At 54.8% G+C, this 25,710-nt stretch overlaps 1 non-coding gene across 1 annotated transcript, besides 4 other annotated features; it reads right to left on the minus strand.

Moving 5' to 3' along the window:
- Positions 1–13,537: 13,537 nt before the first annotated feature.
- MIR4478 (microRNA 4478) lies at positions 13,538–13,623 on the minus strand. Its single transcript, NR_039690.1, has one exon. It is a non-coding gene; the product is annotated as a microRNA 4478 (primary transcript).
- Positions 18,599–19,365: an enhancer, noted in NCBI's record as "H3K4me1 hESC enhancer chr9:124887422-124888188 (GRCh37/hg19 assembly coordinates)". NCBI's record gives its function as "activates a minimal SCP1, AML or CMV promoter by ChIP-STARR-seq in naive H9 embryonic stem cells {active_cell/tissue: H9 hESC(naive)}" and the evidence as "EXISTENCE:reporter gene assay evidence [ECO:0000049][PMID:30033119]".
- Positions 19,366–20,131: an enhancer, noted in NCBI's record as "H3K4me1 hESC enhancer chr9:124888189-124888954 (GRCh37/hg19 assembly coordinates)". NCBI's record gives its function as "activates a minimal SCP1, AML or CMV promoter by ChIP-STARR-seq in naive H9 embryonic stem cells {active_cell/tissue: H9 hESC(naive)}" and the evidence as "EXISTENCE:reporter gene assay evidence [ECO:0000049][PMID:30033119]".
- Positions 20,132–20,898: an enhancer, noted in NCBI's record as "H3K4me1 hESC enhancer chr9:124888955-124889721 (GRCh37/hg19 assembly coordinates)". NCBI's record gives its function as "activates a minimal SCP1, AML or CMV promoter by ChIP-STARR-seq in naive and primed H9 embryonic stem cells {active_cell/tissue: H9 hESC(naive and primed)}" and the evidence as "EXISTENCE:reporter gene assay evidence [ECO:0000049][PMID:30033119]".
- Positions 20,899–21,664: an enhancer, noted in NCBI's record as "H3K4me1 hESC enhancer chr9:124889722-124890487 (GRCh37/hg19 assembly coordinates)". NCBI's record gives its function as "activates a minimal SCP1, AML or CMV promoter by ChIP-STARR-seq in primed H9 embryonic stem cells {active_cell/tissue: H9 hESC(primed)}" and the evidence as "EXISTENCE:reporter gene assay evidence [ECO:0000049][PMID:30033119]".

Genomic DNA, 25,710 nt, shown 5'->3' on the forward strand with positions numbered 1-25,710 from the left:
ATGATTTCCTGTCTCCCTCACTGGACTCACGTGCCAGCCACTGGAAGAAGAGGAGATGCACCATACTCTATCTGCAGGTAACAAAATAAAGGCCAGGCTTGTGCAGCAGTAAGCTGGAAAGAAAATAACTGACAACACGATACCATCTTAGATTCTCCAAGGACTCTGTGAAGGCAGAGAATAAACATTACATTTCAAACAACTTTTCCTAAAAGGTCAAGAGAAATTGAAAGTAACCGCACTCTCCTAACAACAGCCTTCTCTCTTGGAGAGCTGTCAGGGTTTAAAAATATTTTACAAAGCAATCATCTGCATGCCATCAAGAGAGATGCCTCACTCAGGTCAAGAAGCAGGGGCTGTTGAAATGTGTCAGTGGAATTGTGCTAGGAAAAACCCACCACTGATAGCTCAATTCTAACCTAACTTTGGAAAGCAAGTTAAAAGTAAAAATAAAAATAAACAAAGGAAAATCAATCCAAGTGTTCCCAAGTGGCCCAATTTGAGAAGAAATCCTTTTCCTTCTCGGTTTAAGGGGCGAACCGGATGGACAAGATAAAGGTACATAATGCATGCTCCTGCACCAGTACCTGGCCTTCCAGGTGCCTCAGGCTCAACTGATGCTTCCTTCACTCTGGCCTTCTGTGCCAAGGCCTGTGCTGGGAGCTCCACACAGGGATGAGTAAGACAAGGCCCCCGGGGCCTGGTGATTTTCTCTGTCCACCGAGAGGCCAGGCGCATCCATAAATAACGGCAGAGCTTGAAGTGATATAATAGACAAACAGGGCAGTCAAGTTGGGCCTCTTAGCCAGGGTGACCTTTGAATGGGCATCTGCAGCAGGGAGAGCTCACCAGGCAGATGGGGAGGGGTGGGGAGGCTTTCTAGGCAGGGGGGCTGGCTCGTGCAAAGACAGAAGTGTGAATCAGCCTGGTGCAGGTGGCCAAAAAGAACAGTGTTATGTGGGACATCCATATAAAGCAGTGGATGGGGGAGGCTGCAGAGGCAGGCAGGGCCAGCGAGTGACACAGGGTCTTGCAAGCCTGGAGAGTGAGTGTGAGCAAAAGCCTGTGCTCAGCGGCAGGGCACTGCAGGTTTGGAAGCAGAGCGGGACAGGACTAGATCGAGCTTTTCCATATGTTTCTGGCTACTGAGTAGAGAAAGACTTGGAGGGAGGGAGTCTGGAGGCAGCTGGCCAGAGCCTGAACTAGGCATTCATTCATTCAACACATGTTCATGGAACATCCACTGCGTGCCAGGCACTGCTTCCAGTGTGGGGTAGTTTGGACTGTGGGGATGGACAGAAGGGCACAGACCTAGAGATGTGGGAAGTAAGGTGGGAGGTGAGGAAGGGGTGGAAGTCCAGGGGACTCTCTGGCTGTGGCTTGCCCAACTGATGGATGGATGGTGTTACTGGCTAAAATGAAACCAGAAGGAGAAGCAGGTTTGGGAGACAACAGTGAGCTCAGTCTTGGAGTGTTGGTTTGAGATGTCTGCGGAGCAGTGGAGACCTCTCCAGCCTACATTTGCTTCAGTGCTGTGTGACAATAGCCTGGATGTTGGAGTTGTCAGATATTGTCCCTGTCTTCAACTTTCCCTGGTCTATATTTCTGGAGCCAGAGAAGCTCCAGGGAAATGCCCAGGCGGAGTGGGGAAAACCTGTGGGAATTTGCTTGTTCAGAGGAGACAGGATGGGAGAGAGAGGAAGCCGGGTGTGGCTGAGGAATCTCGGGGAGGAGAGGATCTTTGACAGCCTGTATGCCTCCAAAGGAAGCCACGGAGCAAGGGAACAGACTGACCTTCCAGCTTCGATTTTCTGTCTGTAAATAGGATTGATAAAATTGTTGAGGATTAAACCAGACAGTTCAGGTAAAATTGTTAGCAAGAGACCAGGTCCATAACATCCGATCTCTAAGTGACTGATGTTTTTATTAGTTTGTTGGGCCCTGGATGCAGCTAGGGCCCAAGCCCAGAGGTTTGGGGATGCATATTCAGCTCAAGGCCAGGAAGAATCTTAAAAGGCCAGGTGTCCCGGGAGGGAGCGAGGAGAAAGGGGGAAGGAGTCAGGAAGGCCAGAGCAGATCAGCTGGGCACCCCCCATCCCCAGACCCCACCCCTGGTGAGGGCCTCAGGCTGCATGCTACCACCGATCCTCTCTTCCCCTGAATCTGGGAGCCAGGTACCTGTGCAGGGTGGGGCAGGGAGGTGGCAGGGTGTACTGGCCAGGAGGCAACAGAGGCCGGCAAGAGGAACACAGCTGGAGGGCACTGGCATGCGAGGGAGGAAGCCTGGTGAGGGGACAGCTTGGGCACCCCAGGGGTGAAGGCCCCGTGTTTGCACCAGGAGGAAGAGGTCCAGCGAGGAACTGCATAGCAACCAAGGCCTGTCCCACCTGGCCCTGCCTCAGGCAGGCTGCCCTCAGGCAGGGGGAATTGACTAATCCCCCAGCACCACCACCTTCAGGGATACCCAGTCCCAGAGTCCCAAAAAGATAGGCCAGGTCAGCAACAACCCACCACCACCACCTCAAAAATACAGCCTTTCCAAGAAAACCACCCCAAACCAGTTCAGGACACGTCCCCAACAAGTGAATAGAGACAGCTGGCCACTGGCTTCCTGGGCCTGGCTTTGGCCTGGTCCCCAGGGAAAGGTGCTTGAGGGCTGGGGTTTCTAACCAGCCCCATGCTATTGCCCACCTGTCACTCCCCATGGAGTGTGGGCGGGGCTTGCAGAGGAGCCCTCTGCACGGGGGATACCAGTGACATAGGGGCCTGTGTCTGCTAATGCCTCTCACTTTCTCCACTCCCCTGACCTCATCCCATTTCTGGTTCTAACATGAGGGTCAAATCTATTTGGAGGTCAAGGTGAGGCAGCAGGAGAGACCTTTCAGGTTCCTCCCAGCATCCCAGGCCTCTGTTGCATTCAGCAAGCACAGACTTGAGCCAGGCACTTGGACACAGACAAATCCTCTTGCCCACACTGACCCCCAAGCATCACACTTCCATTCTCCTGGGCTGCCTCCACCAATGTCTGCCTCTGGGAGTCTTATCCATCCTGCAAGGATGGGCTTCAAGGACACCACCTCCAGGAAGCCTACCCTGACTGCACCTCCTTTTCTCTCCCTATGTCTGCCTGAGCCACAATGATGCTCCCTCCTTTGAACTCCTGCATCCCTTTCTCTGACCCTGGTCTTAGGTTTATTCATGGCAGGACAGGCTCCCCCAAGAGGCCATGAGCTCTGAGAGCAGACCCAGTTTGAAGCAACAGGGGATGCTTTTTGAGCACCTCCTGGTCACCGGGTGCTGTGGTAGTGTGACGTGCTCCACCTCATTGACATTGACCCTTCGCTCAGTGCTGTGAGGTGGGCACTGAGACCATCGCCATTCTACCATAGAGAAACTAGGCCACTGCTTGACAAGCCAGTCATGGGAGCAGGGACTGTATCTGCCTCGCCCAGAGAAAATAAGAATGAGCGGGGCCCGGCCAGCTGTTCTGCAGCTCTGCCCAGTGCCATCTGCCCGGAACCCACTCTGCTGCCACCAGCTCTGCTCCACCTGCCCTTCCAAGCTTCAGCCTCTGTTTTCTGAAGGGCCCCTGGCCAGCTAGGAGCCTCCCTCCCAGGGCACGGTATAACCTGGGATTCCTCTCAGCTGGGGTCCTGGACGACTGGGTCTGGGGGTTTCAGGATCACCCGACCTGACCCGTGGCAGCCAAGGTGGCTGGCCAGGCTGCAACCCCCCCACCCCACATCTATGTATGCCCCGCTGCCCGGCCCTGGAGCTGCCACCTGCTTTCAATCTTCAAACGGCTTGTGCTTTGAGGACCCCAAGTTCAGTTGGTCACAACCCTGGCCCCCAGAAATACCTTAAGGTGGCCCATGGGCCCTGGATGATCTGCTCCCCCACCCTCTTCAAACCCCATCCTCACATTCCATTTCCCAGCCATTGCTCCAAGCACCACTTCCTCCCACATGCTGGCTTCTCTCCTCAAGGTCATGACACCCAAAGCTTCCTCTTCCTGGCCAACTCCATCATCCTCCCTGGCCAACTCCATCATCCTCCCTTGCCAACTCCATCATCCTCCCTGGCCAACTCCATCATCCTCCCTGGCCAACTCCATCATCCTCCCTTGCCAACTCCATCATCCTCCCTGGCCAACTCCATCATCCTCCAGGTCTCTGCTCCAAAGTCCCCTCCTCAGGGAGGCCAACCCTGAACCCCAGAGTAGATCTCCCAGCACCCTGGGCCTTCTTGTTGTCCTCATCACACTTGACATGGCATTTGAACAGCCTCCCACATTGGCATGAGAGTGAGCTCCATGAAACAGGGCACTGGTTCCTGCTCCGAGCCCAGCACAGTGCCTGACACACAGTAACCATGCTGAGGACAGGATGTTCAGGCTCCTGGGACACCTGGGAGGGAGGGAGAGAACACTTTTAAGTGAAGGTTGGAAAAAGCAGCCCACAGGACTGGCATCTGAGCTCATACCCAGGTGGGCAAGGCAGGAAGGGCATTCCTGACGAAGGGAGCAGCCTGGGCAAGGGGATGAGGGGGCCCCGTTGTGGTCCCCAGCAGGTGAGAGACCTGAGCCTTGGCTGGGTTCCACGACCTGCCCAAGCTGGCCCAGTTAGCAGCAGGGCCTGAGTTCAAATTCGGTCAGTCTGATTCCACAGGCTACATCTCCCACCCTGGCCCACCTGGCACCCTGGCCCACCGCCGGTGCCATCCTCTGGCTGCAGTCCATAGAATGACTCAGAGGAAAGTGCCTGAGCCCCCATGAAAAAAAAAAAAACGATATTCCAGGCTGAACCCCAGACCACAGCTGCCGAGGAAGCTGAACAGAATTCAGGGAGGGGGAACCTCTGGCCAGTGGGCTGTGGTCCAGGCCTGGCAAAGGGATTGGGGCCCCTGGGTGAGGGCCTCCTCTCTGCTTCCCCATCACAACCCTTCCCTACCCTCCCCCAGCCTCAGTTCTTTCACCTGTTAAATAGGACCAACCATGCCTACCTTGAGTAGTTTTTATCAAGGGAGGAAATGGAAATAAAACACAAAGTGTCCTGCAAATGTCAATTGCTGACACACACATTTTTATTATAATGACTGTTAGGAATACTATTGGTTTCTGATTCCCGCTTCGCATTGTGCTTTGATTGTCAGAGGCATTTCGGATTGTGGGGGAGACCCCTCTTGGCGGCAGCACCCCTAGGCCAGGGGCTACCCTGAGACAGACTCTATCATCCCTACCCTGTCCTTTCTGTCCCAGCCAAGCGGCCCCTCCCCTTGCCCAGGTTTTGGGGTCTCCATCCTTCTTGGCCAGTCCTCCACCCAGTCAACTCAGGAACCTTTGCTGGCTGCCCGCCATGGGCAGGGTTTTCTGCTGGACGAGCCAGAATACCAGGCCCTGTGGTCAGGGAGTTACTGGGAAAGACAGAGGACACCAGGAGAAGAGCCAGGGCCATGCTGGGGGAGGCACCGGGTGCCCAAACAGCACAGAGGCCCCAGTCCGGCCTGTCTCCTGGCCTGGTGTGGGTGGGAGCTGCCACTTGCCAGGGCCCTCCATCTCCCCTGTTCTGATCATCCGCAGCAGCTGTAATTCGGGGCTCAGTCTGGAGTTCTGGGTTGTCCCAGCCTGCTCTCTCTGGATCTTGGGGCCTTCATCACCTCCCCATCCTTCCCCTCCTCCCATCCTGACATGCAGGCTGCTCCTTTGGGGAACTCTCCAGGTGTTCTGCCTGAGGGAATCCCATTAGAACAGCCTTGGGGGAATTCAGTTCCCCTCAATAAACATTTACAAGCATAGTTAGAGTGCGTGTACTGAGAGTCAGCAAAAAGCAAACTTTGATCGTACCCACAGCTGCCCTGGGAGGGCAGAATTATTACTATCCCCAGTTAACAAATGAGGCATTCAACGTTCCATTCAGTCATTCATCTGTCCCCATGTGCTGGAGATGCAGCAGTGACCATGCACTCAGGACCACCGCCCAGAGGGAGCCCAGGGACCCTGAGTGAGTCATTCCTAAAGAGCAGACGAGAGGAAAGGGAACCCTGGGAAGGTGGACTTTGGGGAGGGTCGGAGACCTGGAGGACAAGGGGATGGTAGCCAGATAGAGGTGGGTCAGGATGGAGAAGCAGCACAAGCTAGCAATTTGCCCAACTCCAAGTGAGAGCCACAGCTGGAACTCACTAAGCTCCAGGCCCAGTGCTCTTCCCATAACGTCATGCTGCCATGCTGACCGCCTGTATGGCCATGCCCTGTCCTGGGCACAACATGCCATGAGTGTTACAGTGTGGACATGGCTATGAGAGCCCAGGGAGGGAAGTTTCCCTGGAAAGAGTGGGAAAGGTCTAGGAGTGTTACAGGAAAGGGGCCCCAATCCAGACCCCAAGAGAGGGTTCTTGGCTCTCACGCAAGAAAGAATTCAGGGAGGGTTCGTAAAGTGAAAGCAAGTCTATTAGGAAAGTAAAGGAATAAAGAATGACTACTCCAGAGATAGAGCAGCCCCAAGGGCTGCTGGTTGCCCATTTTTATGGTTATTTCTTGATGATATGCTAAACAAGGGGTGGATTATTCATGCCTCCCTTTTTTAGGCCATATTAGGTAACTTCCTGCCGTTGCCATGGCATTTGTAAACTGTCATGGCGCTGGTGGGAGTGTAGCAGTGAGGAGGACCAGAGGTCACTCTTGTTGCCATCTTGGTTTTGGTGGGTTTCAGCTGGCTTCTTTACTGCAAGCTCTTTTATCAGCAAGGTCTTTATGACCTGTATCTTGTGCCGACCTCCTATCTCATCCTGTAACTTAGAATGCCTTAATCATCTGGGAATACAGCCCAATAGGTCTCAGCCTCATTTCACGTAGCCCCTACTCAAGATGGAGTTGCTCTGGTTCAAACACCTCTGACAGGAGGGCTTCACAGAGGAGGTGACATGGAAGCCGGTCTTTGCAAGATGGGTAGGAGTTTGCCAGATAGAGGAGGGCTGTCCATGCTGAAGGAGTAGGGTATCCAAAAGCTCAGAGATGAGAATGTGATTTGCATTCTGGAGACCTCACTATGGGGAGATGAGTGAAGGAAGGGGGCCTAAGAAGTCAACTCTCAACCCCTGTGGCTCCATCAGGATGTGAAGGAATCAGGCAGAGGAAGGAAGAACTGGAATTGAGGAGAGCTAGGAGCCAGGCTCTGCCGCATGGGGAGGGGACCAGCTGCCAGTAATTGAGGCTCGTTGTTGGCTCCTCCATTCATTCCTGTCTCTCTCAGAAGCTGATTAGCAATTGTTCCTCCAGCTTCTTAAGAGGCCAGGGGATTGCAGGGAGGGAGGGGGCGCCTGGAGAAGCTGCCAGGCTTCCGTGGAAGGATCCAGGCACAATTTGGAAGGCACAGGAGGCCCCTCGACCTCAGACACCTACTCCTAACCCCTCCATGTTCCCCCCCTTTCCAACTAAACCTGGGAAATGGGAGAGGAGAAAAACACCTAAAAATACTGAGACAAACCAAAGCATTCTGAGGCAGAGGCATTTAAATCCATGGGGCAGTGGAGCAATAGAAAAAAAAAATCCTTGGATCACACCTGGCATGGTGGTTCATGCCTATAATCCCAGCACTTTGGGAGGGTGAGGTGGGTGAATTGTTTAAGCCCAGGAGTTCGAGACCAACCTGGGCAATATGGTGAAACCCCTTCTCTACAGAAAATAAAATTAGCCAGGCATGGTGATGTATGCCCGTAGTCCCAGCTACTTAGGAGGCTGAGATGGGAGGATCACATGAGCCTGGGAGGTCGAGGCTGCAGTGAGCCAAGATTGTGCCATTGCACTCCAGCCTGGGTGACAGAGCAAGACCTTGTCTTAAAAAAAAAAAAAAAAAAAAATCCCTGGATTGTCAGCCAGATGTGAGTTTGAGTTTTATCTCAGGATGAACTTGCTGTGTGGCCTCAGGTGAGCAGCCTAACCTCTCTGAGTCTCAAGTTCCTGACCAAGGTTATTTGGAAGGCTTAAGGAGACAAAGTTGGCATAGAGGTTAACAAACAGTAGGTGCTCAATAAATTTGCAGTTGAAAAGACAGGGCATTCAATGGATATCTCCATTTTCAAATCTCAGTGGGGCTGTCCTGGACAGAGAGGGTCCTGATGGGGAAGAGGTACCTAAGGAGGCACAGGCTAGCTCAGCACAACACAGAGAGGAGACAGCAGTCCCCGTCACCACCCACCAACATACTCCCGATGCAGAGGTCCCGGCAGGGTTAGCATCCTTGGCTGGAGGAGTGGCCAAACAGCAGCCCAGTCTCTGCCTCTCTCAGCAGAGTCTCCATCTGCATCCTTGTCTGCATCTCTGTCTGTGTATCTCTGTCTGTGTGCCTCTCCCTCTCTCTACGTCTCTTTCTGTCTTTGTGTCTTTCTGTCTCGGTGTGCTCTAGAATGTTTTGAGCAACTTGTCTTTCTCACTGTGTTGCCCAGTGTGTCTGTGTCTGTCTCTGTCTTTGTTTCCGCCTCAGATTCTGTTTCTCTCTTATTCTTTCTCTTCTCATTATTGTCACCTTCTGTTCAGCCAAAAAAGCAGAGACTGCCTGAGTCTAGTGATTGGAAAACCACCATTTTCTCCAAAATGTTCCAAACCCCTACCCCAGTCCTGGCCATGGTTCCTGGCCTCTGAAGTTTGGGGGAGGATGGACCCCTCGCCCCCTCTGCTGCAGAGGCCAGGTCTTGGTGAGAGCAGAGAGCACTCCATTCTGGATATGACCATTTTCTGCACAGCCACCATGTGCCTGATAGAGAAGCACTCTAGGCTCCTATCCTCCCCTGCTGCGGCCTTGAGTCGTACATCCTATGAACTCAGCTCCCCTCTTCCTGCCCTTGCCCTGGGTCAGGGTTCATCCTCCCAGCCCGATGTGCGGTGCCAGCCTCCTCGCTGCCCTGCTGGCCTGGGGCTGGTGCCTCCCACCCATCCTAGCCTGCTCCATCACAGGATGAGCTTCTGACCTGCTTATTCCTGCTCAAGAACCTCCTGTGGCTCCCACCTCCTTTAAAATAAGCCCACACTTGCTCACTGGAGCCTTCTTCAGCACCTGCCTCTCCAGCTGCCCACCTTCTGTGCAGCCATAATAGACTTCTGCTGCCCCAAACATGCTCCGCCCTCTCCTGGCTCTTGTCTCAGCATTTGCCGTTCCTTCCAGTTGGTGTTTCTGCTCCACTGCCACTTCTTGCCCCTCAAGCCAGCTCCAGTGGCCTCTCCTCAGGAAAACGTGAGTTGTTCTCAGCTCTGTGCTCCCCAAACCCTGGCTGTCCCCTTGCATAACCCCAGTCCCTCAGGCTTGCTTCCTGGTCTGTCTCCATCAGACTGTGAGCTCCCTGTTCCTGGGGCTGCACAGAGGAGGCACTCAGCGCTTGGACAGATAAGCCCACCGAACCCTGCGGGGTCTGTCTGCAGCCCTCCCACCAGCCAGCCCAGGACAGAAGCACCATGCCAGGCCAATTTTCCTCTGCCAGCTCTCTGGGGCTTGTGGCCCAGGCTGCTTACGGGAGGAAGGCATCTTCTCCCTGCCAGCTGTCCAACCAGTGACCCCAGGGCTACCATTTAGCCAGCAGCCCCTTCAGAGCCACTCACGCCCCACACAGAGGCCCTGAGTCAATGGGCCTGCGGGAAAAGCATCACTCTTGCTGTGCAAAGCTCTCTCCACATGACTGGGTTTGAGATACATGGTAGAGGGGGTGGGGTTTGCCAACAATGGGGTAGGTTACCTCATGCATTCCATGAATCTCTGCTTCCTGGTACCTGCTGGTCACTGTAGAAAGGGAAGGGGCTTTAGGGGAAGGTCTGGGGCAGGGTTCCAAAGCTGGGTTTCAATCTTGGCTGACCTTGGGTTGTGTGACCTTCTTTTGGAGCTCTGTTTCTCCATTGTCCCATGAGAACCGGATGGTCTCTCTGATGCTTGCAGCTCTGACATGCTGGGCTGTGAGACCTGGACTCCCCACAGTCTGCCCTCTGGTAACATCAATCCTAAATACCCACCTCCTGCCTCACCGAAGCCCCTGTGTGCAGAAGCGATGCGTGTGAGTGAGGACTTACGCTGAGGATTTGTGACTACCCCAGTCCTGGCCTTCCAGAAGCTGGCACTCAGCCCCAGACAGACAGTGCTGGCCTTGCCCAGGACTCACCCTGGAGGGAGATGACAAGGGCGGTAGAGTGCAAGGTTGGAGCCCCTAGCTTGGGTTCAAACCCTGATTATGTCACTTTTTGGTTGCGTTACCTTAGATCAGGGCTTCTCAACGTCAACACCAGGACATTCTGGGTTAGAAACATCTGTGCTGCAGGGGTGTCCCGTGCACGGGAGGGTATTCAGCAGCATCCCTGCAGCACCCCTGAGATGTGACAACCACAATGTCTCCAGACATTGACAAATGGCCCCCCAGGAGTACAATCACCCTTGTTGAGAACCACTGCCTTGGACAAGTCGCTTATTTTTCTTTGACCTCAGTTTCTCCATCAGTAAAATGGGAATTAATTGTGATAAGGACAAAAGCTAACTTGCAGTGTTTACTGAATGTGAGAAATTGTTCTAAGTGCTACACATGTTTTAAGTTTAAATTCATTGTATCATTGCTGCTGCCCTAAAGGTGGGTATTATTCTCCCCATATTCTGGGGAAGGAAATAAAGACACTCAGAAGCTGAGTAATTCTCCAAGGTCTGACAGCTAAGAAGGCTGCTGTATTAGTCCGTTCTCACGCTGCTATAAAGGACTGCCCGAGACCGGGTAATTTATAAAGGAAAGAGGTTTAATTGACTCACAGTTCAGCATGGCTGGGGAGGCCTCAGGAAACTTACAACGATGATGGAAGGGGAAGCAAACACATCCTTCTTCACATGATGGCAGGAAGGAGAAGTGCTGAGCACAAGGTGGGAAAGTCCCTCCCATCAGATCTCGTGAGAACTCACTCACTATCATGAGAACAGCATGAGGGTAACCACCCCCGTGATTAAATTACCTCCCACCGGGCCCCTCCCACAACATGTGGGGATTATGGGAACTACAATTCAAGATGAGATTTGGTGGGGACACACCCAAACCATATCAGCCGCCTAGCTCAAACCTTAGGCCCATAACCTTAATGGCTGGCCTCCAGGGCTTAAAAAGTTCAGGACTGAATGAGGCAATGCATGTAATGTGCACTGTATCTGGAATTATCTCAGTGCTCAATAAATGGTATTATTAGTCTCAACAAACCTCTGCAACCCAAATGTTGGCCCTTTATGCAGATACAACAGGTTGTATCTCCCGTTGTTTCTGGGTCAGCTAATGGTTATGGCAGTCAGGCACAGTGGCTGATGCCTGTAATCCCAGAGCTTTGGGAGGCCAAGGGTGGAGGACCACTTGAGGCCAGGAGTTCGAGACCAGCCTGGGCAACATAGTGAGACCCCTGTCTCAAAAAAAAAAAAAAAAAAAACCATGGCTATTGAATGACTAGTCTGTGCCAGTTATCACATTTAATCCCATGAGAAATTTCCCCGCCCAGGTTGCAGAGGAGAAAAGAATGACTGAGGGAGGGGAAGGGACTGGCCCAGAGTCACACTGCCAGGCACAAGGCCAGCACCAGGCCATGGGGCTGTCTGCTATAGCACGACCCTCAGCGGGACCTGGGTGCCCAATGTCAGGCTCTCTCTGCCTCTGCAAGAAATGTCAGGGAGAAGATGACCAAGTGGTATTGGACAGAATGGCAGTGATGCTGAGGAAGAAACCAAAGGTGAGGGCCCTCTCCCTTTGTATTAAACGAAACTTTCCAGGCTTAGGCCCTGCAGCCTGTACGGTGTCAAAAAACAATTGTCATAAGTTGTCGACACTTGGAAACATTTAAACTTATGAGGTTTCACATTAAAATCTGTATTACTGCCTTCCTTTACAAATCTGGAAGAAGGAATGCATCTGTATAGGTGGGTAAGAGCAGGGGCTCTGGAGTCAGACTACCTGGGTTCCAATCCTAACTCTGCCACTAGCTTGCTGTGTGTCCTTGGCTGAGTTACTTAACCTCTCTGTGCTCTGCTTCCTTCGTCTGCATAACGGGGATAATAACAGCACTTTCACCAAGATTGTCATGGAGATTAAATAAGAAAGTGCCTATACAGCACTTCTTTAGAACAGCACCAGGCACAAAAGAAGCATGCAAAATGTTAGCTGGTGTTATTTGTAACTTTTTTTTTTTTTTTGAGACAGGGTCTTTCTCTGTCACCCAGACTGGAGTGCAGTGGCACAATCATGGCTCACTGCAGCCTTGACCTCCTGAGCTCAAGTGATCCTCCTGCCTCAGCCTCCCAAGTAGCTGGAACTACAGGCTTGAGCCACCGTGCCTGGCCGTTTGTATCATTATTTACAGTGTTTAGTATTAGGCAGTGCTGCCCCTGGATTCTGTCCCAGGCAGAGCTGAGTAATAGCTGCCCCTTTAGATGAAGTGTGACCTCTTCCATTGTCCACAGCCCACAACCCCAGGGACCAAGGCTGAGGTCCTAAAAAAGCCAACACTGTGTAGGGGCCTGACTCCTGGCTGCTATGTGACTTTGGACAGTCACTCCCTCTGTCTGGGCCAGTGTCCTCACTTATAAACCAGAGGCACAGGGCCCTGAAAACATTATGCTAAGTGAAAGAAGCCAGACACGGAAGGCCACATAATGTCTAATTCCATTCCTACCAAATGCCCAGAATACGAAAATCCATGGAGACGAACAGTGAATTAGTGGTTGCAGAGGCTGACGGAATGGGGAGTGACATCTCATGGCCACAGGGTTTCTTGTGGGGTCACAAAAATGTTCTGGAGCGCCATAGTGGAACCGGTTGCACAACCTTATGAACACAGTCATGCGTTACTTAATGATGGGGATACGACCGGGCACAGTGGCTCATGCCTGTAATCCCAGCACTTTGGAAGGCCGAGGTGGGCGGATCACCTGAGGTCAGTAGTTCGAGATGAGCCTGGCCAACATAGCGAAACCCCATCTCTACTAAAAATACAAAAATTAGCTGGGTGTGGTGGCACGTGATTGTAATCCCAGCTGCTCAGGAAGCTGAGGCAGAAGAATTGTTTGAACCCGGGAGGCGGAGGTTGCAGTGAGCCGAGATCGTGCCACTGCACTCCAGCCTGGACGACAGAGTGAGACTCCATCTCAAAAAAAAAAAAAAAAAAAAGATGGGGATACATTCTGAGAAATGTGTCACCGGGCAATTTTGGTGGGCAAACTTACATGAACCTAGATGGTGTAGCCTACTGCACAACTAGGCCACATGGCATAGCCTATTGCTCCTACACTATAAACCTGTACAGCATGGTACTGTGCTGAATACTGTCAGCAATTGTAATGCAATGCTAAGTATGTGTGTATCTAAATATATCTGGATGGTTTCCCTGCAGGTAACAGCTGGCTCTGATGTCCTAAGGAGACCCCAGCGCCATGACAAACCCAGGGATCTCTGATTGCTCCCAGCCTGAGTCGCTTCATATCCTACATGGGAGGCTGAATCCACAATCCCTCCTGCAGACGTACCCTCTCCTCTCCCTTGTCCCTGCAGAGGCCAGGGCTGCAGGGGATGAGGCTCGCCCCTAGTACTGCATGACCCTGTCTACAGGTTTGGAGGCTCCTCAGCTCAGCCTCGGCCCCTGGGCTCTTGTCTTGCTAAGCCCAGAGACCCAGCTCCCACTGGGCTTGGTGGCTGCTTGAAGTGGATCATGCCTTGCACCTCCCCCTCCTCTCCAGAATCTTCTATGTGTGCCGAGACTCCCAGAACAGGAGACATTTGGCTACATCACCCAAGATGGTGCCCACTTTCCATTGCCATGGGTCTAAGAAAAGGTGAAGTTCCCTCCCCCAGCCCTTCCCTGCCTGCTGAGGGATAGGACATGTGTCCCCATTTGCAGTGGATGCAGGGAGGGCTGGAGAAATGCTCTGTGCTCTGAGTAAGGCATGTTCCCCTGTAAGTGTGCCCATGACAGCTTGTGTATGCATATGTGCATGTATGGATATGCATGTTTGTTGGCAGGGATCTGTGCACATTTGTAGGTCTGCCTTTCTACCCGTCTTGTGTTCTGGACTGTGCACATATCTGCCTTGACAGACTTATCAATGTTCACACACTGGCTACACCTGTACCTTGTCTATATGTGTGGCTGCGTGCGTGAGTCTGCTGGAGCTCAGCACTTGTGTGGCTGAGCTGTTTACACCTGTCTGAATATGAGGGGTGTGTTCACGTGTCCCCTGAACGCACACTAGTGCATGTGTCCCTTCTGTGTGTGTCAAGGCAGGCCGCACGGCCATGAGGACCATAGCCCAGGCCTTGGAAGTTTTCCACGAGCTTAGACTCCAGCACCCACTGCACATGGCAAATGGCACCAGTGACCTGCCGTGGAAGGCACAGATGCCAGAGGGCACCACTACTCCAGCAGGAGCAACACCAACAAGGCCAGCACCAGCCCCACCCATGGCCTCCAGAGATCCTGGAGCCTGGAGGGCCCAGACGAGCTGGCAGCTCCAGGCTCCAGGCTCCTCAAGGTCCCACAGACAGGCCAAAATCCAGACAGCGGGAAGGGACAGCACAAGCCGGAGCCTGGGGACCAGAGGCAGTTTGGGGGTGCTCCATGGGGCCACACCCCAAGCCTGCTCTACATATTCTTCTAGGGCTCCAGAAGTGGGGAAAACCACAGGTGGGGAAGGCTGCCCCACAGGTGTACAGGTACAGGTGTGAGGCTGACATAGGTGGGTGAAGGATCAGAATCAAGAAGAGGAGATACTTCCTGCCTGATGAGTCTCTAGCTGTCCCCTCCAGGGCGCAAAGCCCCAGCACCTCCTTCTCTCCTGTCTTTGGGGCACCCAGCCATGGCCCCAGCCCCTTGGGCTCCAGCAGCAGCAGCAGATACAGGAGGCTGAGGCTCAAGTGAGAGTGGCTAGAGGGCAAGTGAGCTGAGCAGGTGGAGGCCAGACCACCCTTTCCCATCCCAGCTGGCCCGGGCCACAGGTGCCACTCGATGAGGCCTCAGCTAAGCACCGAGACAGTTGCCCTCAGACAGCCCACGCCAGCCAGCTCCCTGCACCAACCGGAAGCTCCTGCGGCACCTGGCACCACCCGAGGCCCGCCTGGGAAAGAGAGGGCCTGAGAGCCAACTCAGCCTGGCACCCGGGAGGCGATGGTCTGGTGAGACTTGGGAAGCTGAAGGTCCTGCCCCAGGTGGAACTCAGAAAGATAAAGAAATGGCAGCTCAGAGATAGGAGGGGACTTGCATAGGCTGCCTGTCCAGGCAGCGGCCAAGCTCTTGTGACTGTAGAGTCCTTTATTACCCTTTCCCACTCCCAAGCCAAAATGCTGGTACCAGGACCCAACTGAGTCAGATCCATCTTCAGTTTCCCCTAGACACCCACCCAGTGGGCTCCAAGAGGCCAAATCCCGGGGACTGGACCCCTAGGACAAGTCGGTGACCCAGGGTTGCCTGCCCTTCTTTGCCCCAATACCAGGACTGCCCTGGGCCTATAACATGCTTTCCTGAATTCTGGATAGGTCTCCCTACCATAGCTCAGAGAGGGTTGCCCACTTGCCCAAGATCACACAGCCGGGGAGCTGGCACCGGACAACTGGCCCGTGGGTGTTCTCCTGTGTCACTGTCCTCGGCTGCCCTGGGCTGGCCCAGCTTCTGAGGGGAAGGGGCCCTCCACAGAGGTACTGTCTCCCCAGGCCACCTCTTGCTCCTGCCCTGGCTTCAGCTTCCCTGCCACCCACCAGCAGTGATCAACTAAAGCCACACTTTGTCAGACATGGAATGAGGCTCCAACCCTGACTCCTTGTCCCCAGCTGAGGCCACCAGCAGCCACCAGCACACCAGCCCCTCTGAAGATCTGATGGCGGCCCAGAGCCAGGAATCAACTGTCGTGACCCTCACATTGCCCCTCCCACCAACTGGCACCAAAGGACTGCAGACCCACAGGGCAGCACTGGGAGGCATCCCAGGATAGGGTGGGGCTGCCTCAGAGACCTGAGGACCAGCAGTGCTGAGGAGACTCTCATGCTCTTTCCCTCCTTGTCTCGATGAGCCCTGAGGCCCAAAGAGGGCACAGGTGCTGACATGTCCCAGAGAGGGCAAACAGTGGCAGGACAAGGAGCCTGCACAAAGAGCCAGAGCTCTGCCCTGGGGGCAGACAGAAGAGGCAGAGGCAGCCCCACCCCCACCCCAGTACTCCCCGTAAGAGGAAGCAGAGGCCACCTTCACAGACGGTCGCTGCAGGCAGGTTTAACCCAAGCTCATGGGATGGTCTGTCCTCACTCAGCTAACCTTGCACACGCCTGTAGGCCTCCTCGGGCTAGCATTCTGTGTTCTCACCACATGCTATACCTGTGCCATTGACCTTACTCACTTAACACACTTATTGTGGTCAGATGGGGGGTGTCACATTGAGCTGGGAAGGCGGTAAGGGGATGCAGAATGAAGGGGATCCCAACAGGGTCCAAGAGAATATGATGTCCAACTGCCCCATTTTGCGGAGAAAGAAACTGAGGCCCAGAGAGCCCAAGGACGCATCACAGATGAAAACAGCATCTGGAAGCCGACTCCTTACAGAAGCCTGAGCCCACGCAGGACCTGCTTTTATGCTGCCCCCTTGTGGTCAGAGGAGGGACTGCCACCCAGAGGCGCCCCCTGCCTTGAGTCCACTGAAATATTTGGTCTCCTTTTCTCCTTCTGAGGTCAGCTCGCCTCAACCCTACCCCAGGGTCTTACTCCCTCCTTGTTTGTAGGTCCGGAGGATCCTCAAGGGCAAAGGGCACCCGAGTGTCCCCACCAAAGGCTGGCCCCCTTGAGCAGAGATACGTGGAGAGGTGACCAGCTTTGCTTTACTGAGCCTGCCTGGCAGCCCCACAGCCATATCCGGGCCCCCTCTTCAGTCCTCATCTCCGTGCCTCCTCTTGTTTTCTACATGACTAATCATGTCCTCTTTCTTGGAACCCCCTCCTTCCTTGGCCCCAGTGATGCCACACTCTCCTGGGTTTCCTCCAGTCTTCCTGGGTGTTCCTTCTCTCTTTTGTGGGCATCTTGTTCCCCTCGGTCCCAGCCTGTTGGTGCCCCCTGAGCCTCTTGTTTTTGCCTGGATTTGGAGCTGGGCCACCTAGCCGGCAAGCAGGTAGACACCTCAGGGCACCATCAGACCAGGAGCATCAAACAAGGAAGATGAGGAGGAAAATGTGTTTCTGTGAACCCATGGATGTGATGATTGCAAACGTTTTTTGTTTTTATTTTTATTTTTGTTTTTTGAGATGGAGTCTCACTCTGTTGCTCAGGCTGGAGTGTAGTGGTGTGATCTCGGCTCACTGCAACCTCTCCCTCCCAGGTTCAAGCAATTCTCCTGCCTCAGCCCCCCGAGTAGCTAGAATTACAGGCATGCGCCACTATGCTCGGCTAACTTTTTGTATTTTTAGTACAGACGGGGTTTCACCATGTTGGCCAGGCTGGTCTCGAACTCTTGACCTCAGGTAATCTGCCCATCTTGGCCTCCCAAAATGCTGGGATTACAGGTGTGAGCCACCGTGCCAGTCCAAGAGTTTTGTAAGGCATGTAAGTGTTACATTTTATAATTTAATTTAGACTCCTTTTTGACTCATGGGGGTGAGGTGAACACCATATCTTTGGTGCTTAGGGCTTCCAAGGACCTTTCCTGGGTGGCCTCAGCTGTGCACTGCCTTCAACCACCTGTCAGTAACCTTCCAACTCCCAAGTGAATATCTCCAGGCCTGATTTCAACTGCCTCCTGGATACCTCTCCAGACATCCCCTTGGCTCTCAGGCTCTAGGCTGATACCTCTCCAGACATCCTCTCCAGACATCCCCTTGGCTCTCAGGCTCTCAGGCTCTCAGAGCCACATCAGACTCATCATCTCTCCCCCAGGCCCCTTTGTCAGCACTGATATGCCCCAAGGTAACTTCATCTTCCGGCTCCATGCCCACCATGGCCAATTCCTCACCAAAGCCTGGCGAGTCCATCTCCTTAATAGCTCTGGGATCTGCGTCGTTCTTGCCACCTCACTCCTGCCCCTGTCCTGGTCCAGGCCACCACATCCCTCCCGTCTGGCCCTCCTGCCTCCTTAGCTGGTGCTCACATGCCCATCTGACCAAGTCGCTTCTTAGCTGGTGCTCCTTAAGCTTCTCCTTAGCTGGTGCTCACATGCCCATCTGACCAAGTCGCTTCCCTGTCTGGGCCTGTCTCCAGATCCCTGTCCCCCAGAATAAAGCCCACACACCTAATACTGGCCTCGAAGACCTCCAAGGGGTGGCCTGGCCACCCTCCACAGCCTCATCTCCCGCCACCCAGGATCTCCCCTGCTGTTTGAGGTGCTGAGATGCTGTCAGAGTTTGATGACTGACAAACAAACCAAACAGGAGAGTGGCTGGGCTGGGGTGAAGTAGGAGAAGACTAGACATACCTCCCAGAGCTCTTCAAGCTGGTGATGACCTATGAAGTTGTCCACTCTGCCACTAAAGACCACCAATCTGCAAGTGGTCCCAGCCCAACTCGTACTCCTCCCATGATAAGGAGCTCCGCCCCCTCACCATCCCTGGACTGGTCCTTCTGTGAGCAAGTTCTGCTCACATGTTCTGCATTACATGCAGATTGGGGTAGGGAACTGGAACTCAAAAGACCCTCGACCCTAGGAACACAAATTCCTTTTCCTCCCTGAAATCCCATCCCTGGGAGTCCCAGTTCTCTGGGTCTGGGCCTGGGCACCCGCATCGTGGCTCAGCTGTGGTTCTAGGAAGCTAGCCAGAGCCTGACAGAGAGATTGCCAAGACAGCCGCCAGAGGGCAGTGCTGCCCCACACACGCCCAGGGGCCAGCCTGCCTTTGTGTCTCAGGCTGCGTGGGTCTTTCAAGGAGAGGCTGCGTGTCTATGTTTGTGTGTATGTGACTGTGGGAGTCTATTACTTTGTGTGTCTCTGGCGGCAGGGTTGGGGGTTGTCTAGGCCAGTTGGTATATGTGGTTGTCCATTTTTGCTCACGTCTGAATACCCCAATTTCCATCCCAGGAAGGGGTGCAGATGCCTGGTTACTCAGTGGGGCCCCAGGCAGGACGGGGAGGAGCACGGCCATCCTCTGAAGAGCCCTCGCCACCATCACCCCCACCATGAGCCTCCAGCCAGACTGGGCCTCAGGTACTTGTCAGTTAAGTCAATGACCCAGTGACAAGGACCAGTTAGTTGTCCTTGTCACTGTCTGGAACCAGGGCCAGTCCTGGTCTGTGGCGTCCAGGTGCTGCAAAGCCCCAGTCCCTCCCTCCCAGCCTCCTCTCCCCTCCTGCCCACCATCACCATACAACAAGGACAGGGAGACTATACCCCCATATCACAGTGGAGGTGTCCGTTTGATCAGCCTTGAGCTGGACACCAGAGCTTCCTGGTGACTCACCGGCAGCCCCCAGGCTGGTCAGGCCCGGGAGAAGGACGCCAGTGTACCCTGCCTGCTGCTGTACCTGCAGGACATGCCTGGACACCAGCGTGCTCTGGGAGGGAGCTGTCCTGTTGCCTGCGGTGGTGGGGACAGGGGAAGGCTGCTCTGAGCTGTACTTGGGATGCGTCTGGGAAGACAGGACGGGCGTGCCAGCAAGAGAACAGCATGTGCAGGGCAGGGAGGTGTGAGGGCGCAGCCTGGGCAGCCAAGGGGCCTGAGCCGCAGGATAAGTGGATCTGGTGGCATGCGGGAGGCGGCAGAGGCAGCGGGCAGGGAGGGGCCTCTCTCCCCAGCAGCTTGGTTGCGGGGACGAGCCAAGCCACCCCATGCTCACAGCCAAGGCAGGGGTCTTGAGACCCGCCTCATACCTCTGTGACCTCCAAGGAGCAGACGGTCCCCGTTACTGCCCCTGCTGTACCCAGGGACCCAGGAACGCAGGGAATGTGAAGCTGGAGGGGGAGGGACAGCGACTGACATTCTAGACCGGTGATGCACCCAGATAGAGGCCTAGAGCGAGGAGAGGAAGTGCGGGGCACAGAATAAGTAGAGAGAGAACAGAGGGAGAAAGAGACACCGGGAGGGGAAGGGAGACAGAGACGGGGAGTCGGAGGAGGGAGCGGAGAGAACCGAGGGAAGGGGTTGCCAGGAGGAGGGGTAGGGAGAACTTTCTTGGCCTCCCTGCTCGCGCCCTCCCGGGCAATCAGGCCGGCAGGAGGCAGGTGGTCCGGGGCAGACAATGGCGCGGAGGAGTGCGGAACCTGGGACTAAATTTGGCGTTGCCTTTGCAGGGCGCGGGGCGCCCGTTCATCTCGATGCAAAGGAGAGACGAAATGAATATGCAGCGCGGGCTGTAATTGGGCCGCCGCGGCCGCCGCCGCCGCCGCCGCACTATAATTTTCCAAACAGGATCTTGCAATCAGGGCCTTATTCATTAGCGCATAAACAATTTTGTTTCTCGGCACTCGAGCCTGTCAATCACGCGGAGAGGGAACATCTTGGCCGGAGGCGCGGGCCACCGTGCGCGCTCCCACGCGCGCCCCCTCGAGCGCCGCCAGGTGGCTTTGTGTCCGGGAGGCCCTTGGGTGCTGGGGTGGAGGGGGCCCGGGGCACGCTTCGGGGTCCACACCCCAGCCCGGCAGATGGGGGTGGGCGGCCTGAGAGAACACAGGTTTGGGGGCCCACCGCCCCGGCTTGCAATTCTGCTTCTGACCTCACCAGCTCTGCCCTTGGGCAACCCCCCTTCTCCTCCCCAGCCTCAGTTTGCCCTCTGTAAGATGTGCTCAGCGCACTCACCCCGCAGAACTAGAGGGGGCATCGGGTGGAATAATGGATGCTTTGGGTGCTGAGGCTGGGGGGTGGGGTGCTGAGGAGGGGGCCTTCTAGCTCCTTTTATTAAAGGAGGGGATCAGAGGCCCACAGAGAGCTTCTCATCCCATCACCACCCCCACCCCTCTAGGACGGCTCCTGCGACTCTGTCTAGGGAGGCCTCAGAGTGGTTCTCTAAGAGCTGGGCTGGGCACAGCCCTGGGCTCACCCACACGCTGGGGTGGGCACGCATGCGTGATCTCCCGTGCTGGCTCCCAGGAGGGCTGTGCACGCGGGGGCACCTATAACTCTACAAGCCCATGTGTGACTGTGCCACAGGCTTTGTGCCTATGTGTGTGTGTGGGGGCGGGGGCGCTGTGACTGTGTGTTCAGCTACTTGGCTGCTGGTGAGATCATGGAGCTGAGTGTGGCTGCCTAGCAGTAGCCAGGTGACAAGGACTGAAGGGGGCTGGTGAACAGAACTGTGGGGTCTTTGGGGCCCAGGTGACCTGGCAAGAACTGCAGAGAGGGCAGGAAGCCCTGAAGGGCTGTGTCTTTCAGGACAGATGACATCTCTGTCTTCTCCGCCTCCTCCCTGGCGACCCCTCCATCAGCCCCATGTCCCCAGCACAGTCATCCAGGGTGCCCAGGCTGGGGAGATAAGCAGCCTGGTTTTGCCCTACTGCCAGGCCTTGCAGTGGGGAGGGTTCACCTTCCCCACCTCTCTGACCCCACCCCCAGCCCCCTCAGTGCCTCCCTGACAGCACCAAGACTCAGCCCCATGCTCCCTCCATCAGGGAAGCCTAAAGGCCTCTGGAATTTCAGGGCCAAATGTTCTAATCAGCTCAGATTTACAGAGATCACAGCAGGTCAGAGCTGGATAGACCCATTGCATGGATGAAGAAACAGAGGCCTAGGACTGGAAACAGGAACGATACAGGCCTGGGACCCCCCCACCCCCAGCAAGTGGGGAGCAGAGCTAGGATCTGAACTCCTGTCTCTGGCCCCAAAGCAGGGGGCAAGGACCTGACTTCCCGAAGACACACACCGCCGACAAGCGTAAGCACCAGCAGACCACGGAGGCCTCCCGCAACCCGCCATGCCCCTCTCCTGCCCCCACCCCGGCATCCTCCTCCTCTGCTGTGCCCAACCCCTGCCCCCTCCACAGTCCCCACTCCACACAGAGACAAAGAATTTGAGGATGTGCTGGCAGCCAACTGACAGGCCATCAGTCTCTACCCAGACACCCTCTTCACAGTTCTAGCCCCAGCCCGGATGCCACCCCACCCGCTAGTCACCCCCAGCACCGGGCCAGGAAGGGAGGCGGCCCGGGAAGGGGCTGTGGGGGAAGGCACGGAGTCCGGAAGCCCAGAGGAACAGTCTTCAACCTGTGAATCCGGCCGCGCCTGGCCCTGCAGCCTCCCCGGCCCGGCAGCCTCCCTGCTCCTGCGTGTCCCAATGCATGATGCACAGCTGACCCCTGCCTGTGAGGGACCCAGGCCATCTGTGAGGCAGTTGCCATGAGTGACTCCTGGTGAACAGCCCATTGGCATCTCCAAGTGCTGGGCAGAGGCCAGAGGCAATGGCTTTGGACGAGGAGACCGAGGTTTAAAACCCAGCTCTGCCACTTTCTGGCTGGTTGACCTCAGGCAAGTCACCAGACTTCTCTGTGCCTCAGTTTCCTCATCTGGAAAGAAGAGCTATTTAACTCACTGGGCACCCAGTCGGTACTTGGTGCTTAGTAAACAATAGGATGAAGGAAAGGAAGGCACAGAGACCCTCCCACCTGCAGGCCAGACTTAAACCCAGACCCTAGACCCCAGAAACGTTCCAGAGCTTTCACGCATGAGGAACCCTTGCCAGGCCCCCACCTGCTGGAGGCAGCCGAGTCAGGGTTTCTAAGCGAAACTCACACGAGTTTGTCATTCTTGAAAAACAGTCCCTTTCCAAGCCCTATTTGACCTTTCCTTAATGGACCACTTGCTTTCAGGGCCCTCATCCTGGGAGGTAGGTTACTCCGCCCATGTAATGGAGACAGAACTGACCCCAGAGGGTCAAAGCCTCTTCCCCAAGGTTCTTCCTCAACTGGGAAGAAAAAGAGTCAGGACTTGAATCCACTCTTTCAAGTACTCCTGTTTCTGCTCCCATTCTTCTGCTGCCTTGGTGGGGATGGGCCTTCCAGTTGGGGACACCTGGGCTGCTCCGAGTCCAGCCTCCAGAGCTGCCAGGTCAGCAGTGTAACCAGTCACTCCACCTCCTGCAGGGTTGCTGGACTGTCATCTAGGAAGAAGATGGTCTAAATTCAAGTTCCTTAGGAAGTCTTGGTTCTGAGGCCCCCGGGGAGCATCAAAGCTCAAGCGGAGAGAAAACTGAGTGGGAGGGGGAGGAACCAGGTCTCTAAGGAGGTGTAGAGACCTAGAGACATGAGTTTCCTTGGGGACATCCCTCTGTAGATCTTACCTCATCCCCAACCTCCTCCCTCTTGGAGGCTTTACTTATATCTCAGTTATCTATGCAACATGGAGCAGGAGAAAGAGCTCAGAGGGTTACCAGCTACGTGACCTCCAGAAAGTCAGAACTTCTCTGAGCCTAAGCTTTCTCATCTATGAGAGAGGAATAGTATCCTAATAAGAACTACTACTCCACGCCAATGCACTAGCACCTAGCATAGCGCCCTGCACATAGTAAGTGTTCATTAAAAGTCTGTTGAGTGAGTGAGTGAGTGAACTGACAAAAGAGAAAGCAGAGGAAAAAGGCCTTCCATCGCCCATGTGGTTGCCTTCTCCCCAACTTCAACCTCAATCAGCTGGTACCCTGGAGGCCCCTCTGCAGACTCAGCCCCTCCCAGTGCCTCATTCCTGGTGGGTGGGACCCAGGGCCCAGGGCTGCCTTGTCCCATGCAGCAGCCACTGGCGCATGTGGCTACTGAGCACATGACATGTGGCAAGTCCAAACTGAGGTGTGCTGTAAGTGTAGGATACACAACAGTTTTTGAAGACATTGTACCCCCTAAAAAAGGAATGTAAAATATCTTATTTAATTTTTATATTGATAACAGGTTGAAATAATATTGTGGACATACGAGGTTCAGTAAAATATGTAGTTAAAACTCACTTCACCCATCTCTGTCTACTTTTGTAATGTGTTACTAGAAAATGTAAAATGACACGTGGCATGCCTCTGTGGCCTGTGCTACATTTCTATTAGACAGCAGAGGTCTGGAACACACTACAGACCCCAGCCCCCCACCCTCCGCCTTTCCTATCCTGGTCCTCTCTCTTCCCATCCAGATGGCAGGGCTGCCAGGCTGGAGCAGTGTGGTGTTTGGGAGAGGGATCCCCTGGACTGGAAGCAGGGACTGAGTTCCAGTCTCTCCCAGTGCACTCAGATCTAGTGCACAGGATGGGGCATCTGCCTCAGTTTCCCCTATCCTGCCCCCAGTTCTGCATCTGGCCTGGTCCTGCCCCATCCCTCCGCACCTCCTGAGACCTGGCCAGGCCATCCTTTATGCTTTTCTCTTGGATCCTGGAATCACCCCATGGTCTCATTCCTGAGCCAGAAAGGCACCTGCATAGGGCCACAGCCACCAACTCAGAAGTCCCTGGGGGCTCAGCCGTGTGTCCACCACTTCCACTTTACCCCAACCAGTCAATTCGCCTTCCACACCTCACTCTCCCCTAGCACTTCTCTCCTTCCCTTAGGCCACTCCTCTAGTCCAGGCCTCATCCATTCATTCAGCAGGTATCTACTGAGCCCCGGTGTACCAGGCACTCTTGTTGGTCCCTGATATGCTTCAGTGAACGAGGCAGGCAAACCCCTCAGCTCTCATGAGCTGGCATCCCAGTGAGGAAAACAGAGAATAAACAAGAAACTGAAGACAAGTATATGGTATGTGTTAGAAGGTGTAAATGCTAATGGGGAAACAGAATAGAGCTGGGTAGGGAAGATCAGCACCACACTGACCTCCTGCTTCTAGGCTGACCTCTGACCCATCCTCCGTGGGCTGCTGGAGGGATCTCAGGTCCAACCATGCTACTTCCCTGCTTCAAAGCCCTCACTGGCTCCCCAGTGCCTCCAGGTGAAGGTCCAAACTTCTCAGCCCGGTATGCAGAGCATCCCCATGATCTGGCCCTGCCAACCTCATCTTCCTGCCAGCAGCTCCCGGCATGCTCTCTAGCACCAGCCTGCCTTTCCCTCTGCCAAGAACACCCTTCTCACATTCCTATGTCAGTAGGCTTGTTCTCACCCTTAAAGGCTCCTCGCACTGTCGGGCAGGTTTGCGCCCACACATGTGGGTCTCCATGTCCTAGACCTGTGTGCATGCTGCAGCTACACGCCTGCCACTGCCACAGCTCTCACACGTGTGTGCACATTCTCTGTGAGCAGGCACGCCGCATTCCCTTGCGTGCTCCTGCTCCTCGGAGAGGCCCAGTCGGGGGCAGGGGCTGCCCAGGTATGTCTGACTTCCTAAAGCCTCAGCGGGAACAGGCGCTGCGATTCAGGAAGTCGCCATGGCAACCGCCGGGCCCTCCTGCCATCTCCTGCAATCAGCGCTGGGACCCGGCCACCCGCTGGGCTTCCTGGAGATTCGTTCCCTATGATTTGAGGCTGGGGGGAAGAGGCATGGGGGAATCTCTTAACCCCCTGGCCCCCACCCTTCCTACCCTGGTCCTCTCTCTTCCCATCCAGGATGGCAGGGCTGCCAGGCTGGAACGGTGTGGTGTTTGGGAGAGGGGCCCCCTGGACTGGAAGCAGGGACTGAGTTCCAGTCCCAAATAACAACTTGTGTGGCCTTGGATAGATCCCTTCCTCTCTCTGAGCCTCCGTTTCCTCACCCATGAGATGCCTCTCTTACAGGGTCTCTGTGGGGTCTGGGGCAATAATGTGGCATGTATTAGATATTCAGCTAATGCTGTCATGGAAACTGAAGGTCTGAAACAATCCATTGCTTTTACCGAGTTT

The sequence above is a fragment of the Homo sapiens genome, chromosome 9 (assembly GCF_000001405.40).
Source record: "Homo sapiens chromosome 9, GRCh38.p14 Primary Assembly".
Classification (NCBI taxonomy): domain Eukaryota; kingdom Metazoa; phylum Chordata; class Mammalia; order Primates; family Hominidae; genus Homo; species Homo sapiens.